This window comes from Homo sapiens, chromosome 8, assembly GCF_000001405.40.
Source record: "Homo sapiens chromosome 8, GRCh38.p14 Primary Assembly".
Taxonomy (NCBI): Eukaryota; Metazoa; Chordata; class Mammalia; order Primates; family Hominidae; genus Homo; species Homo sapiens.
Genome location: NC_000008.11, coordinates 125082199 through 125097593, shown reverse-complemented (window position 1 = coordinate 125097593; position 15395 = coordinate 125082199). Strand labels below are relative to the sequence as shown.

Here is a 15395-nt window from a genome sequence, read left to right as displayed (position 1 = left end):
ATAGGCTTCACGGAAATGAAGGCACTTAAGCTGGACCATAAAAGGTACTCAGGATTTGGAAAGGTCTAAATTATCAGGGAGAGCTGTTCAGATGAAGGAAGCAGTGAGATGAAAAAAGATCATAAGGTAGTAAACGATGAGATGAGTTCCCTTTGCCTGGCATACAGGTACAAAGGAATGGGAAGATAACTGGATTTCATTCTTTGGGAATATAGTGTAGACAGCCTTAAGTACAGGATAAAGATTCACTCCAGTTGGGTCTAGTGGTCATCATGGAAATTTGAGCTCTATGTATTTTCAAAACTTTACCTTAAAAATCAAGACCTGAAACAAATATGGCAAAATGTTAAAGATGTTAAAATCTGGGTGATGAAACAAGGGTTCTTGTTGTGTTCTTTTCTGGGACTTTACAGTTCCACATCAAAAAAGAAAAAATACAAACAGGAATAAAAGCCAATGATGATCTTCAAACATTTGCATTGAAAGAGACTGCTTGTTTACAATCTCACTGTATTATACCAAACAAGTTGAGACATTTTACACAATATAAATACAAACATACACAAAAAGATGGAAAAACATAAATTCAGAAAAACCAGGATCAAAAAACAGAAATTTACGGGCAAACCAAGCATATGAGAAAGTTATAATGGAGTCACGCACACTTTAGGATTCTACACAGAGGGCCAGGTGTGGTGGCTCCCGCCTGTAATCCCAGCACTTTGGGAGGCCGAGGCAGTTGATCACTCGAGGTCAGGAGTTCAAGACCAGCCCAGCCAACATGGTGAAGCCCCATCCCTACTGAAAATACAAAAATTAGCTGGGCATGGTGGTACACACCTGCAGTCCCAGCTACTCGGGAGGCTGAGGCAGAAGAATCGCTTGAATCCTGGAGGCAGCAGTTGCAGTGAGCTGAGATCACAAAAAGACTCCGTATGAAAAAAAAAAAAAAAAAAAAAGGATTCCACACAGTACTAGTAATACACATTTGGTAGTGAGCTTCCTCACAATCAAAACAAAAAGTGACAGTTATTTTCTCCAAAAAAAAAAAACAAATAACACTAGAAACTCAAGAAAAAAATAAAGCTTTCCATGGCAATCAAGGCAAGTATGGATCATCATATATGAGATAATGGGTTACACTGAAAAAAATAATCCTCAAAAATATCCTTATAGTAAATGCAATAGCAAACTTCTAGGACTGTTTCTTGAGACTATTTCTCAGGGCAGGTAAGGACAAAACACTTGTGACAGATACTGGACAGGTGCCCACCAAAACCATTTCCTCTTCAACCCGGTTACATGCCTATATATGCTCCACATTTTCCAGCCTTCCTTGAAGTTAGCTGTGGCCTATGACTGTACCCAAGGCAATGAAATGTGAGCCATTTCCAGGCCTAATCTGCAAAAAGCCACATTTTCCCATTTGATAGCTTGATGCAGGCAAGCATAGGGACCTTAGTAAAGCTATATGCTGATGATAGAGAATTACTGCATGGAAGGAGCTCAAGGCCCTACATCACTGCTTGGAGGAAAACTACTCACCTATCAGGCTCCATGCATGAAAGAAACTTCAACTGGGCAAAGCCATTTAGACTTGTGGGGTTTACCTGTTACAGTACTAAGTATTAATCAAAAAACACAAACCTGCAAGGACCAAATGATATAATTCCAGTATTCAATTTTCTTTTCTTTTTTTTTTTTTTTTTTTGAGATGGAGTTTTGCTCTTGTCCCTCAGGCTGGAGTGCAGTGGCACTACCTTGGCTCACTGCAACCTACGCCTCCCAGGTTCATGCAATTCTCTTGCCTCAGCCTCCCCAGTAGCTGGGAGCTACATGCCAGGCTAATTTTTGTATTTTTAGTAGAGACGGGGTTTCACTATGTTTGCCAGGCTGGTCTCAAACTCCTGACCTCAAGTGATCCACCGGCCTCGGCCTCCCAAAGTGCTAGGATTACAGGCGTGAGCCACTGCCCCTGGCCTCGGTTTTCTTTTTGTTTTTGAGACAGGGTCTTGTTCTGTCACCCAGGCTGGAGTGCAGTGACATGATCATGCTCGCTACAGCCTCAACCTCCCAGGCTCATGTGATTCTCCCACATTAGCCTCTCAAGTAGCTGGGACCACAGGCGCGCGCCACCACTTGGCCAATTTTTCTTTTTTAATTTTTAGTAGAGACGACCATCTCCCTGTGTTGCCCAAGCTGGTCTCAAACTCCTGAGCTCAAGTGATCCTCCCAACTCGGCCTCTCAAGTGCTGGGATTATAGGCATGAGACACCATGATCAGCAGAAGTATTCTGTTTTCTACTCAGTCTTGATTCTAGTGTAAGTCTAAATTGTCCAGAGCAGCATTGTCCAATAGAACTTTCTGTGATGAAAACGTTCTATAATCTGCACTGTCCAATATGATAGGCACTAGGCACATGTGTACTGATTATCTAAAACCTGGCTGGAAAGGTGGCTCATGCCTATAATCCCAGCACTTTGGGAGGCCAATGTGGGAGGTTGGCTTGAGCCCAGGAGTTCGAGACCAGCCCAGGCAATAAAGTGAGACTCTGTCTTTACAGAAAATAAAAAATTAGCTGGATGTGGTGGTGCGGGCCTGCAGCCCCAGCTCCTCAGGAGGAGATGTGGTAGGATCGCTTGAGCCGGGAGGTTGAGGTTGCAGTAAGCCATGATCACGCCACTGCACTCCAGCCTGGGCAACAGAGCGAGACCCTCTTTTCTCAAAAAAAAGAGAAAAGAAAAGAAAAGGAAGAGACGCCAGGGACTGCTCTCTCTCTCTCTCCCTACCATGTGAAGACACATAAAAAGGGCAGCCATCTACAAGCCAAGAAGAAAGTCCTCACCAGAATCCAACTATGCTGGCAACCTCACCTTGAACTTCTGGCCTCCAGAACTGTAAGAAATAAATTTCTGTTGTTTAAGCCACCCAGTCTATGGTATTTTGTTATGGTAGCTTGAACAAAGACACAGTATCTATGAAGATTAATGCAATCCAGTATAAATGGAAAGTATCTACCAAACAGTAGCTGTCACTATTTGTTTGAATGCAAAACTCACATTACTTTAGTGAAACTTCACTTTTGCAGAGGACCAAGGAAAACACGATCATGCTCTTCTGTAATTCTGGAGTAGGGAAAAGATTAAGACTGAGATTGAATTGAAAAGCAAAGGCAATGGATGGTGCAGAAAGATGGAACAGACATACTTTTCTCAATCTCTCCCAATAAATACAGCTAAGTACAAGTCAAAGACAACTCCTTTCTCTGACTCTAACAGCACCTTCTTTGATATAATTATAATTATAGTCACTCCACTTTGTTAGTGACTATCTTGCAAGATGTTAGCAGTGCTTCACAAACAGCAAGTGCTCTGAAAATAGTCAATAAATGAATAAATTAACTGTCTGCTTCAGTCAGATTCATAGCTCTCCTGTTTCCTTCTCCCCTTCATACCCAATATTCTTAATCTCAGCTCCAGACTTTGTTCAGGCTGGGTGTGGTGGCTCATGCCTATAATCCCAGCACTTTGAAAGGGCAAGGCAGGAAGATTGCTTGAGGCCAGGAGTTTAAGACCAGCCTGGGCAACACAGCAAGACCCCAACTCTACAAAAAAAAAAAAAATTTAAACTTACACAGACATAGTGGCTTGCACCTATTGTCCTAGACCCTCGGAAGGCTGAGGTGGGAGGACTCCTTGGGTCCAGGAGTCCAAGGCTGCAGTGAGCTATGATCATGCTACTGCATTCTAGCCTGGACGATAAGAGTGAGACGCTGTCACCAAAAAGGAAAAAGAGGACTTTTCCTCATCCTGCTCCCACCATGAGAAAACCTTCTCTTCAGTTTTCTTTCTATTTATTTATTTATTTTTTGAGACAGAGTTTCGCTCTGTCGCCCAAACTGGAGTGCAGTGGCATGATCTCGGCTCACCTCAACCTCTGCTTCCTGGGTTCAAGGGATTCTCCTGCCTCAGCCTCCCGAGTAGCTGGGATTACAGGTGTGTGCCAGGACACACCAATTATGTTATTTATTTACTTATTTATTTATTTATTTATTTATTGTATTTTTAGTAGAGAGAGGGTTTCGCTATGTTGACCAGGCTGGTCTCAAACACCCGACCTCAAGTGATCCGCCCGCCTTGGCCTCCCAAAGTGCTGGGATTACAGGCATAAGCCACTGTGCCAGGGCCTCTCTTCAGTTTTCTATCTGCCCACATCTTACCCATATGCTAAAGTCTGAATGTTTGTGTCACCCAAAATGTATATGTTGAAATCCTAACTTCCAAGGTGATGGTATTAGGAGGTGGGGCCTCTTGGGAGGTGATGAGGCCCACTTTCATGAATAAGATTAGTGCCCTTTTAAAAGATGCTCCAGATAGCTGCTTTGCCATTCCACCATGTGAGGACACAGCAAGAAGCCACCTATGAACCAGGAAACAGGCCCCGGAACTGTGAGAAATAAATTTCTGTTGTTCATAAGCTACCTAGTTTATGGCATTTCCGTTACAGAAGCCCACATTGACTAAGATACCATCTTTCATGGCTTGGTTTAAGTGGTTCTCAACCAAGAAGGATTTTACCCCTCTCGCAAGGGGACATTTAGCAGTATCTGTAGACTTTGTGGTTGGCATCTAGCGGGCAGAGGCCAGGGATGCTCTTAAGCATCCTACAAAACACAGGACAGCCCTCACCCTGACCCCACAGCAAAAAATTATCTGGCCTAAAATGTCAATAGTGCATCAGTTGAGAATAACTGGTTTAAATCAATCTCTCTTGGATCCCTCCCCAGGTAATAACACTGATCTTTTTCTTCCCGGTACCTATGATCTCCAAGAAAGTTTAGAACAAGTTGTGCATTTCCTGAGTTTTTTCTCTGCATGTTATTTATAGACAATATGTTGACTTCCTTTAAATCCATGGGAGCCTTGTACAAGTCAGCCAGAGCTGCCTCTCCTTTTTCAACATGCAAGGATAATCCCTTCTCTCTGAATCCTTCTCATACAATTGCTTTTCCCTCCCTCATGCTACCATTATCCCTATCACATGCACATGTACACAACACACTCCTATTATGAAACTCATCACAACTATTTGCTCACATGTCTGCAGCTTCTTTAAACTGACACCTCCTTAAACTAGAACCCTGACATATTCTATTGCATATAAAGCAATTCCTCACACAAAATAGGGGACCAATAAAGATTTGGCCAGTTACAAAAATAACAACAGACATCATCATTTCTCGGTCACCTACAGAATGCCATAAACTGGTGTCCCGGCACTTTATTCTCCTTATCGCTAATTCTCACTGCAATCTACATAACTGAAGAGGAAATTGAGGTCCAGAGAGTTTATTCAAACGACCTTCCCGTGGCCTTACTTTTAAAGTCAGTTCAAACAAAATCTATTTGGATCAAAAATTCGTAATCTTGCCCCTACACACTTGAGGCGAAAGGATGGAGAGATGGCGTCTCGGACAGGAGGGTAAACTGTCCCAGACTCACTACCGTGGCGTGAAAAGTTCCACAACCATAATCCGGGTAGACGGACCCCCGGCTCGGAGTCCCCGTGGAGTGTCCCTGAGGGTGGCGAAACTCCTGCCACCCTCCCCATTGCCGTCCCCCGCTTCTTCCCTACCTGGTAGTCCAAGCTGTCTCCGTCTGGTGGCACCCCAATTTCCCCTGCCTAGACCCACCTCCTTTCCTCAGCCCCCTTCGCCTGCCGCTGAAAAGTGAGAGCGGGCTCTTGCGTCATCAGCCGTCGCCGGCGAGTGGTCACATGATGCCCCTCCCTGCTCCCAGCCGCTTCGGTCATGTGACCGCCTGGGGAGTCAGGGGCGGAAGTCGGGGTCTGACCCGCTCCAGGTCCGGGACTGCGGATAGAAGAGGACCGCCGCCTTGAGGGAGGGGTGGAAACTGGGTGCCGGCTCCGCGCGCGACCTCCGGCCCTGCGCGTGCGCCGTGGCGCGGCCCGGCTGACAGGTGAGTGGGGATGGAGTGAGCGCGCCCCATTTTTGCATGGCCCCCTTCCCCTCCCCGCTGGGCCGCGCTGGCCACGGGGAGGTCTGCAGAGTCGCGTGCAGCCTGGATGGGGGACTCGGGATGGAGGGCTTAGGGGCTTTCTGGGGCGGGGGCTGTAATCCAGCTCTTCGTCTCCGCTTAGGGGGAAATCATTTTGCACACCCCTTCCTCGCTTTAGGAAGCACCGTTCAGCTGCTTGGTCCGAATCTCATCCTTCCAAGTTTCCGGGAACACTGCTGTATGGATGTCGTCGTTATTTCTCTTTGCTTTTGAGAAAACTGAAAGGCTAGTAGTGAGGACTTTTACAGGCTGACAGACGTGGATTTGCATTCTAGTTATGCCATGGGCTGTGAGTTTGGGCAAGTCATTGCTGCTCGCCGCGCCTTAATGCCTTCACCTGTGACATACTGATGTCAAAATCCTTTGCATTTGGGGGAAAAAAAAAAAGTTCCCAGGGCCCTGATTCCTGGGATCGGAATCAGGATTATGATCGGACAGGAGAAAGAAAAAAAGTCACAGAGCCATAAAACTGGGTCTCCTGATTGCAAGCGCATGGAGCTCCCTCAAACATAGGTGAGGCGTAGTGAGGGCGAAGTTTTACTGTCTTTGTGCACTACAAGGGACACCTTCTCTAATTGTCCTTCACCTGCCTTTCCCAGGATTTCAGGTTCAGCCTCATTTCAGAACTTTTCTGGAAAATATATGCAGCTTGCATTTATCTTGATCAGCAACCGTTATATTTTGTTTGTGATAATGGATTTGTGGAGACCAGTGCTTCCTTTATGGAACTGAGGTTTTGCGAAAGGCTAAAAATAGACCTGCCTTCTTTTGTCCTCTGAAGAGGGTAAACTGTTTGTCCACGACAATTCGATTTCCTTAAGAAATATTATTCTGTACTCAGGGTAATTGGTGTAAGGATGTCATGCCTTATTCTTGAAAGCATGTCTTTTGATTAGGATTACTTCCCAAACTGAAAATCACAGTTCCACGCCAAATTATTAAAAATGAAGTTACCGGCACTTGTAAAAGAAAATAAGAAAATATAGTGGGATCTCTGGATTTCATGCCAATAATAATATAGCCTGTATTGAGAAAACTGATCTTCAAGTGTTCTTGATCCCTAGCACCAAGAGAACCTCTGAAAGGATAATTTAACATAGCTTCTTCTACAGTGTTTATTTGGACCTAATTCTAAAGTGGTTTTTTAAGACTTAGCTGAGTCTTAACACTTTGTAAAGCCATCCACCTACCTCTTAGCTGCAACTTGATTAGGCATTTTTAATGATGGTTCTTAGATTCTGTTCTTCAGGACTAGTCCTTCAGCCAACGAGGGGGCTATTTACCAAATACTCTAGCCAAATTATATTTGTACAAATTATGGAAATTCCATTTGTTACATGGAAAATATAACTAGTCCGGGTTAGGAGGTCTAGTACATAAAATGTAACTAAGTGATTTCCTTCTTTCAGCTAATCTTGTTTTAACTTCTTCCATCTTCAAAAACTTAGCAGGAGATGCTTGCATTATTAGAAATAGAAAACACAAGTGCCCTTCATGGGGCAAAACAGATTACAAGCAGTGAGTTCATTTCAGTAAAAGTATATTAAATATAACTCATATGCTTTTGCATTAAAAATTTAATATAAAGTTTATATATAGAATTTTAGAAAGGTGATTTACCTAGGTAATAAAGACCCATAATATTTGTTTTACTATTGCCGAACATATTTGGTTATTATTATCCTCCTCATGTTCTTTTAAAGTTGTCTACAGCGTAATTCTTGAGTAAGGGACTAAGGATTAAAACAAGAGATTGACACACGAAAGTCTTGATCTCTGTCGTTATCCCAGACTGAAGCTTCCCCGAATGTGTGCATGCAGGTGCTGAGTCTGTCTGTCCTTCTGTATGTTGGGAGAGAGTAGAGTAAAGGGCAAGTAATGTTACTTTGCTTTAAGTTGTTTTTCCCAGGGCCACATTGTTGCCCTGTCATGGTATCCCAAATCGGGTAGCCATTGGACCTGTTAATCATAGCTTGTCCTCCTCTTCATGAGTCTAGAGCAAGCTTGTGTAGCCTGAGGCCTGCAGGCCACATGCGGCCCAGAATGGCTTTGAATGTGCCCCAATACAAATTTGTAAACTTGCTTAAAACATTATGAGATTTTTTTGCGATTTTTTTTAAGGTCATCAGCTATTTTTGGTGTTAGTGTATTTTATGTGTGGCTCAAGACAATTCTTCTTCCAATATTGCCCAGGGAAGCCAAAAGATTGGACACTCCTGGTGTAAAGTTTCATCCTACTTAGACCTTCTGGGTTAGTTTGGTGGTCTTCAGAGGGCTTTAGTATGTGACTGTTTTGCCCACTGTCCATTATTTCCCCTTTCCCTCTCTGCTTTCCCAAGCCAGACCATATCCATGCAGAAAATGAAATGAAATTATCTGAAATTCAGCCTGTTAGAGATCAGTGTGGTTTAACAAGCAAGTATCACAGAGGAAACTAAAAGAACTTGTTAATAATGTATGCCTTAATGTGTATTACAGGGTACCTTCATGGGAGTTCTAGACAGCTGTAGTGGCTTCTTGGCTCTCAGATCCAATCCAGTCTACTTCTTCTGTTTCCGCCCCTAGCTGACTCTGCTCCAGCCACTTTAGCCACCTTGCTAGCCATCTAGCACATTCCTGCCCTGGGGCCTTTGCACTTACTTGTAACCTCTGCTTGGGATGCCATTATTAGGATCATTATCTATTGCTGCATAATAAACTATGCCAGAACCCAGTGGCTTAAGACAATAAGCTTTATAGCATCTATGGTCCGGAGGGTAGGGCATAGCTGGCTGCCTTTGGCTCTGGGGCTTTTAGAACATTGCAGTCAGGCTGGGAACAAGGAGCTATGGTCTTATCTGAAGGCTGGACTGGGATTATAAGGGATCTACTTTCAAGTTCACTCAGGTGGTTTTTGGCAAGCCTCAGTTCCTTGTCATATGGGCTTCTCCCCAGGGCTCTCTCACACCATGATATGTTGCTTCCCCTGGACTAGCAAGCTACAGAGGGTGCCCAAGCCAGAAGTTAGTCTTTTCGAAATCTAATCTCAGAAGTGCACTGTATCTTTTGTTTCTATCCTATTTCCTTCCCCCCCTCCCCCTTTTTTTTTTTTGAGATGAAGTCTCACTCTGTCACCCAGGCTGGAGTGCAGTGGTGCAATCTCGGTTCACTGCAACCTCCGCCTCCTGGGTTTAAGCAATTCTCCTGCCTCAGCCTCCCGAGTAGCTGGGATTACAGGTTTTTGCCACCATGCCTGGCTAATTTTTGTATTTTTAGTAGAGCCGGGGTGATCCCGGCTCTCCTAACCTCAGGTGATCCATGTGCCTCAGCCTCTCAAAGTGCTGGAATTACAGGAGTGAGTCACCACACCTGGCCCTATTCTCCTCTTTAGGAGGGAGTCAGTAAGTCAGCTTATACTCAAGGGAAGGAACCTACATAGAACATGAATACCAGGAGGCAGAGATCATTAGGGACCACTTTAGAAAGCTGCTGACCATACCCAGATATCCATACTGCTTGCTCTCTCATTTCCTTCTGACTTCTGCCCGAGGTGCTCTATGGAAACTAGCATATGCCCCATCCTTTATTATGTTTTTTCTTCACGGCACTTATCACAGCCTAATATATAAAGCTCATTTTCACAAATTTCAAGATACATTTGTAATCAAAACTTTTTCTTCTCCTTTTTATGAAACATTTTTCTGTATTTTGTAATCACTCTAGCATTTTTCAGATATGAACTATTCTTAATAGCAAGAATCTCCTATACTTGACATGTGAGAAAATTTTTTTTTTTTTTTTTTTTTGAGAGAGGGTCTCATTGTCACCCAGGCAAGAGTGCAGTGGCACGATCATGGCTCACTGCAGCCTCAACCTCCAGGGCTCAAGCAATCCTCCCACCTCAGCCTCCCTTGTCACTGGGACTACAGGCTCGCACCACCATACCTGACTGATATTCTTTTGATTTTTAGTAGAGACAAGGTCTCGCTATTGTTGCCCAGACTGGTCTTGAACTCTTGAGCTCAAGCATTCCTCCTACCTTGGCCTTCTAAAGTACTAGGATTACAGGTGTGAGCCACCGTTGCCAGGCCTAAAAACATTTCTAAAGATTGTTCCCTCACCTACTTGTTGTTCCCTCACCGACTTCTAGTGGTTTTTAGGACATAGCTCTCTTTTTCCAAAGATAAGACAAATGGCACAATTCCTGTAAGGAAATTGCAATAATCAGCGGAAGCAGAGAACTGAAAAGATGGGGATTGGAGGAAAATGCAGTAGTACAATACAGAAATAGCTACATGGACATTATTATACAAAAGCAATGACTATATTGCACAGCATTATAGAAAATGAAATATCACAATAACAGCATCAGCATGCTGTTTAAATTGACAACTTGTACTGTTAGTCCTCAAAACTGAATCTCAGCACTATGGCAAACTACCCCAAGACTTATTTGCCCAAAACAATACAATATGTTAAAAATTTATCATGATCCTGTGCATTAGGAATTGGGAAAAGGCACAGAGGGCTTTGCTGGCTGCAGAAGCCGAATAGCCTCATCCCTTATATGTCTAGCACTTCAGCTAGGAAGACTTAAAGAGCTGGGGGCTGAGTGGACCAGGTCAACCCAAGTCACACGTCGGCACTTCAGTTTCTGCTGTCTGCTGGCTTTCTTCATTCTCTTCTGTGTCAGGACTTTTCCCTCTCAGCATGGTCTTTCCTCTTTGTAACTCCTGTGATCTCTCTAGCAAGATACCCAGACATCTTACATGGCAGCTTCGGACACCCAAAGAGAGCAAAAGGAGATACTGCCAGGCCTTCTCAAGGCTTAGGCCTGGAATTGGTAGAGAGTTAATTCTACAGTATTCTTTGGGTTGAAGGAAGGAAGGCACAAGCTGTTATGAGCTGAGTTGGGTCCCCCCAAAATTTATATGTTGAATTCCTAACACTCAGTAGCTCAGAATGTGACTATATTTGGAGACAGGATTTTTAAGGCGGTGGTTAAGTTAAAATGAAGCCACTAGGATAGGCCCTAATCCAATATGACTGGTATCTTTGTATGAAGAGGAAATTTGGACACAGAAATTTACAAAGGAGGGCCAGGCTTGGTAGCTCATGCCTGTAATCTCAGCACTTTGGGAGGCTGAGATGGGAGGATTGCTTGAGCCCAGGAGTTTGAGACTCCCCTGGGCTACATAGTGAGACTCCCATCTCTATACAAAGAAATGAGCAATGGGGTGGCCATGCGAAGACACAGGAGGAAAATAGCTGGCTACAAGCCAGTGAGAGAAGCCTGAGAAGAAAACAGTCCTACCAACACCTTGATCTTGAAGTTCTCGCCTCCAGAATTGTGACAAAATAAATGTGGTTGTTTAAGTCACCCTCTCTGTGGTGCTTTGTTACGGCAGCCCAGCAAACTAATAAAATGCAATCCAGACTCATTGAGAGGGAAAATAAGGTTCAGCCCTTCACTTAAGGTGCTGTATGGGCTGACTTCATGGCAAGGAATTGTTGGGAGCCATCTTTGGCAACCAGTTACCACATTATTATAATCAGATTGCTTTCCAAGCCCCTAGAACTAAGAAAAATGATTGTTGCAGGGGAAGGCACACAGGCCTGAACAAGAAGGGGTACTCAAGTCTGTGGGCAGAGGGGAATGTAAGAAGGAGTAGCGTAATGAGACAAATTACCTACTTCAAGAACTTTCTGAAACCTCATCAAGTCCGAGGAGTTATTTCATTTGTGTAAGTCTTTCTCGCTTCCTTCTCCAGTTGCCCTTCGCCTTCTACCATCTGCTCACCCCTGCTATCTGCACTGGCTGTAGGAGGAAGCTAGTGGGAAGGAAAGGGATGGGTCAGGAAGCAGTTTTATCGAGAGTCTCTGTGTTACAGAAGATGCTTAGAAGGCACAACCTGGGTAGTGACATGCTCAAAGACTTATGTGTACAGGAAAACATCACATGTATGTTTTGTTGGTTGGTTGGTTTTCATTCCTAGTGACATCTTTTTTTCCCTTTTCCTTGTTACTTGGCTTCTGCCTCCGCTTCTCTCTCTGTTCTCTCTTTGACAGCTTGTGAGATCCCTTTGCATGTTTTAGAAATCAACCCTGTGTCTGCCCTTTGGATTTCAAATCCATCTTCTAAGTCATTTACCATGGAAAAGTTTTTAAGTGTTACATACTAAAATAGGTCATTCTTTTTAGATGCTAGGTTTCTTTCTCTAGCCCCGAATTCCTAGATGTCACTTTACTAAAGATCACCCAGTATAAGAATACCTTTCCCAACAGAACACCTAATAAATGCTCCATACTGACAATTAAATGTATGTTACACTTCTTATTTCTTTATTGTAAAGACACACTGAAGCACTTCATCTCTCTGATTTTTTTTCTTCAGGGCTCATCTCCAGCAGTATAGCAGGCAGCTAGAGAGGACAGACATCACCTCTTGTAACCCTAGTATTATTTATGCACTCCTTATACTTGTCAGTGCCAAGGAATGAGTTCAGCACAAAGGGCACAAAGATAAATATTGTTAATTTCCTGTTTGCCTGCTGCAGTTTTCTATAAGACCAGTCATTCTCTACTCTTTTAATGATCCTGGCTTCACATCAGAATCATCCGGGGAGATTCTTAAAAACAGAGATGCTTAGGACTACCTCTAACCTACTTACCAGAAACTCTAAGATGCTAGGTGATTCCCTTAAGCAGCCAGGCTTGAGAACCACTGGACTAGAAGGTGAGATGTTTAAACATCTTCATATCCAGCCTGGCAAAGAGGTATTCAGCAAGGAGTGGTTGGGTAAAGATCAATCCTTGCCTTCAAGAACTTTCAGAATGAGCTGTAAGCAACGATAATATTCAGTATGCTAAGTGATCTAACCATCCTCAGAGAGTGCATTGGAATACAAGAGAAGCAAGTAATGGATTCTGCTAACAGTGCTAGATACCTAAGTGCTGAATTTTATGAGACTTTTGGACCAGTTTGATTTAGTATTTATAAATCATCTTCACAGAATTTTGCAGAACCTAGCATCTGTAATTTTAAAAGGAATCTTGGACATGTTCTTACCTTAAGCTTGCAGTTCCATTTCTGGGAAATAATTGGACAAATGCCTCAAAATGATGTACAGGGATTTGTCTCTGAGCTCTCTTTATAGCGTTTGAAATTATTTGCTAATATATCAAATAGTAGGAGATAGCTTGTATAATCAGGGTACATTGGAACCACACATGCCCAGTGGTTCCTTCTCCCTAGCACAGAGATGAGCTGTATCATATCTTTTTCTCAAGAGAAGTGACTAACATGTTGAAGAAGAGGCCAAGAGTGTTAATCTAGCAAAGTCCCTCCACATGGAAAATATGAAGAGTGACAGATAAACACCCTTTCCCCTATAAAGGAACTCATTATTTCTTAAAATTTTTTTAGTGAGTTTGGGAGAAAAATGTGTTTCTTATGTGTACACATGTGCTTCCTTAAACAAATTGAGATTTTCACACTTTTTTTGGGGATACAGGTTCTTTAATGGAGGAGCCAATCTCTCTGCACACCTGGTTTCATCTAATAATATACAGACACCAGCTCTGAGGCCAGTTAATCATCCCCAGTGTCCAGGCACAGAGTAGTCGGTCCGCCTCACAATGTTGGACTTTCTAGCCGAGAACAACCTCTGTGGCCAAGCAATCCTAAGGATTGTTTCCTGTGGTAATGCCATCATTGCTGAACTTTTGAGACTCTCTGAGTTTATTCCTGCTGTGTTCAGGTTAAAAGACAGAGCTGATCAACAGAAATATGGAGATATCATATTTGATTTCAGCTATTTTAAGGTAATCTTCCTCTATAGCATTTTTATTGTTGTCTTTTCTACAAAAGCGTGTTTTCTCTGGGAACCATGAAACTCTGTAAGGTTAAGGAATTATGGAAAAAGCTAAAGAGAAGAGCTTTTCGACTAAACTTAATATTAGCTACTAACTTGAAAATAAGTTGAAAGTATTATGTCAAAGCCCTAACACAATATAATTGTATTTTTAAAAGATAACTTTGATATTTCACATTGAAGGGCCCCATACTTAAAAGCATGCTAATCTTGGGTCCAATTCAAATTCATTTCTCTCAAAGGGATTTTATATCTAGGCTTCTATTATCTTCACTACTTTCTGTTGCTCTGCTTTAAGTTTGGGATGTCTAATAACATAAGAACAAATTTTTAAAAGACTATTTAGAAATTGTCACCAACAAGTATGCTTTTATTGACATTTCACATGTGTTTTTTTTTCTCAGGGTCCAGAATTATGGGAAAGCAAACTGGATGCTAAGCCAGAGCTACAGGATTTAGATGAAGAATTTCGTGAAAACAACATAGAAATTGTGACCAGATTTTATTTAGCATTTCAAAGTGTACATAAATATATTGTAGACTTAAACAGGTATTGATCTATTTAGGAATAGCTTATTCTGGTAGTAAATAGTGGAGAGGGAAAAGGACACATAGCAACGTGTAAATCTCTCTGAGTTACTACAAAATTTCCTAATTTAGTTTATACTGTATATAGTTGTCTTTTCCTACCTGTGGCACTGGTCATCTTAAGAATTTTGAAGTTTTACTATAATGTCCTGCTCTTATGAGGTGTTGTAATAAACTTAGTTTAACTAAGTCATATAGTTTCCAATCCTGTTATTTATTATCATATCCTAGTGTATTATATGTGAAAAGTGGGAAAAAGAACTTATCTTTATCATTAACTTTCTGTCTCTTAATACACTTCTTAAGAATTCATTACTCATTAACTTTTAGACTAGATATTCCATGTTCTTCTGCCTTTACTCCTAGATACTTGTAATTCACAAATCAGGACTAGGGAATATTTCTTTTACTTGGAACAGCGATAAATATCAAACTGTGGCCCTAAATCAGTTTATAAGACTGTATTCTTAAGAGCATGAAGGACCATGAACTAGTGGAAGGCCAGAATGCCTGGCATCCTGCCTTATCTTTTAAAAATCTTTCCTTCTTTAAAGATGTTAAAGTTTCTATTATAAATTAATAACTTGCACTGTGGTTTTATTTCTAGATATCTAGATGATCTCAATGAAGGGGTTTATATTCAGCAAACCTTAGAAACTGTGCTTCTCAATGAAGATGGAAAACAACTTCTAGTAAGTAATAATGATTATTTAAAATGAAATTCAAGAATATCAAACATAGTATCACTTTTTTTTCTTTTAAGTCACAAATATATACGAAATACCATTCTTTAAAGAGAAGCGAAATGAGCTTTTAATTATCTTCTAACTGGCAGGTCCATATCTGAGTTTAGAACATAGACTTTGAACAGAATTT

The 15395-nt window shown here is 42.1% G+C and overlaps 2 protein-coding genes across 19 annotated transcripts in view, besides 2 other annotated features; one reads left to right on the top strand and one right to left on the bottom strand.

Annotated features, from left to right (window-relative positions):
- Positions 1-5734, bottom strand: part of NSMCE2 (NSE2 SUMO ligase component of SMC5/6 complex) — a 275261-nt gene extending 269527 nt beyond the window's left edge. For 9 of the 14 annotated variants that reach the window (NR_146191.2, NR_146192.2, XM_047421702.1 and 6 more), the window contains exon 1: positions 5636-5734. The gene's annotated coding sequence lies outside the window, so the exon portion shown is untranslated. Of the gene's footprint in view, positions 1-3060; positions 3127-5635 lie in introns of all 14 variants that reach the window. The other 5 variants (XM_047421705.1, XM_047421703.1, XM_024447130.2 and 2 more) reach the window with 2 other exon arrangements.
- Positions 5643-5862: an enhancer, noted in NCBI's record as "active region_27899". NCBI's record gives its function as "activates an Ori minimal core promoter by ATAC-STARR-seq in GM12878 lymphoblastoid cells {active_cell/tissue: GM12878}" and the evidence as "EXISTENCE:reporter gene assay evidence [ECO:0000049][PMID:35858748]".
- Positions 5802-15395, top strand: part of WASHC5 (WASH complex subunit 5) — a 67533-nt gene continuing 57939 nt past the window's right edge. For 2 of the 5 annotated variants that reach the window (XM_047422502.1, XM_047422503.1), the window contains exons 1-5: positions 5802-5979; positions 6197-6591; positions 13572-13881; positions 14336-14481; positions 15127-15211. In XM_047422502.1, coding sequence (XP_047278458.1) covers positions 13696-13881; positions 14336-14481; positions 15127-15211 — 417 coding nt within the window. In that variant the 5' untranslated portion in view covers positions 5802-5979; positions 6197-6591; positions 13572-13695. The remainder of the gene's footprint in view (positions 5980-6196; positions 6592-13571; positions 13882-14335; positions 14482-15126; positions 15212-15395) is intronic. The other 3 variants (NM_014846.4, XM_011517409.2, NM_001330609.2) reach the window with 2 other exon arrangements.
- Positions 5913-6082: a silencer, noted in NCBI's record as "silent region_19517". NCBI's record gives its function as "represses an Ori minimal core promoter by ATAC-STARR-seq in GM12878 lymphoblastoid cells {active_cell/tissue: GM12878}" and the evidence as "EXISTENCE:reporter gene assay evidence [ECO:0000049][PMID:35858748]".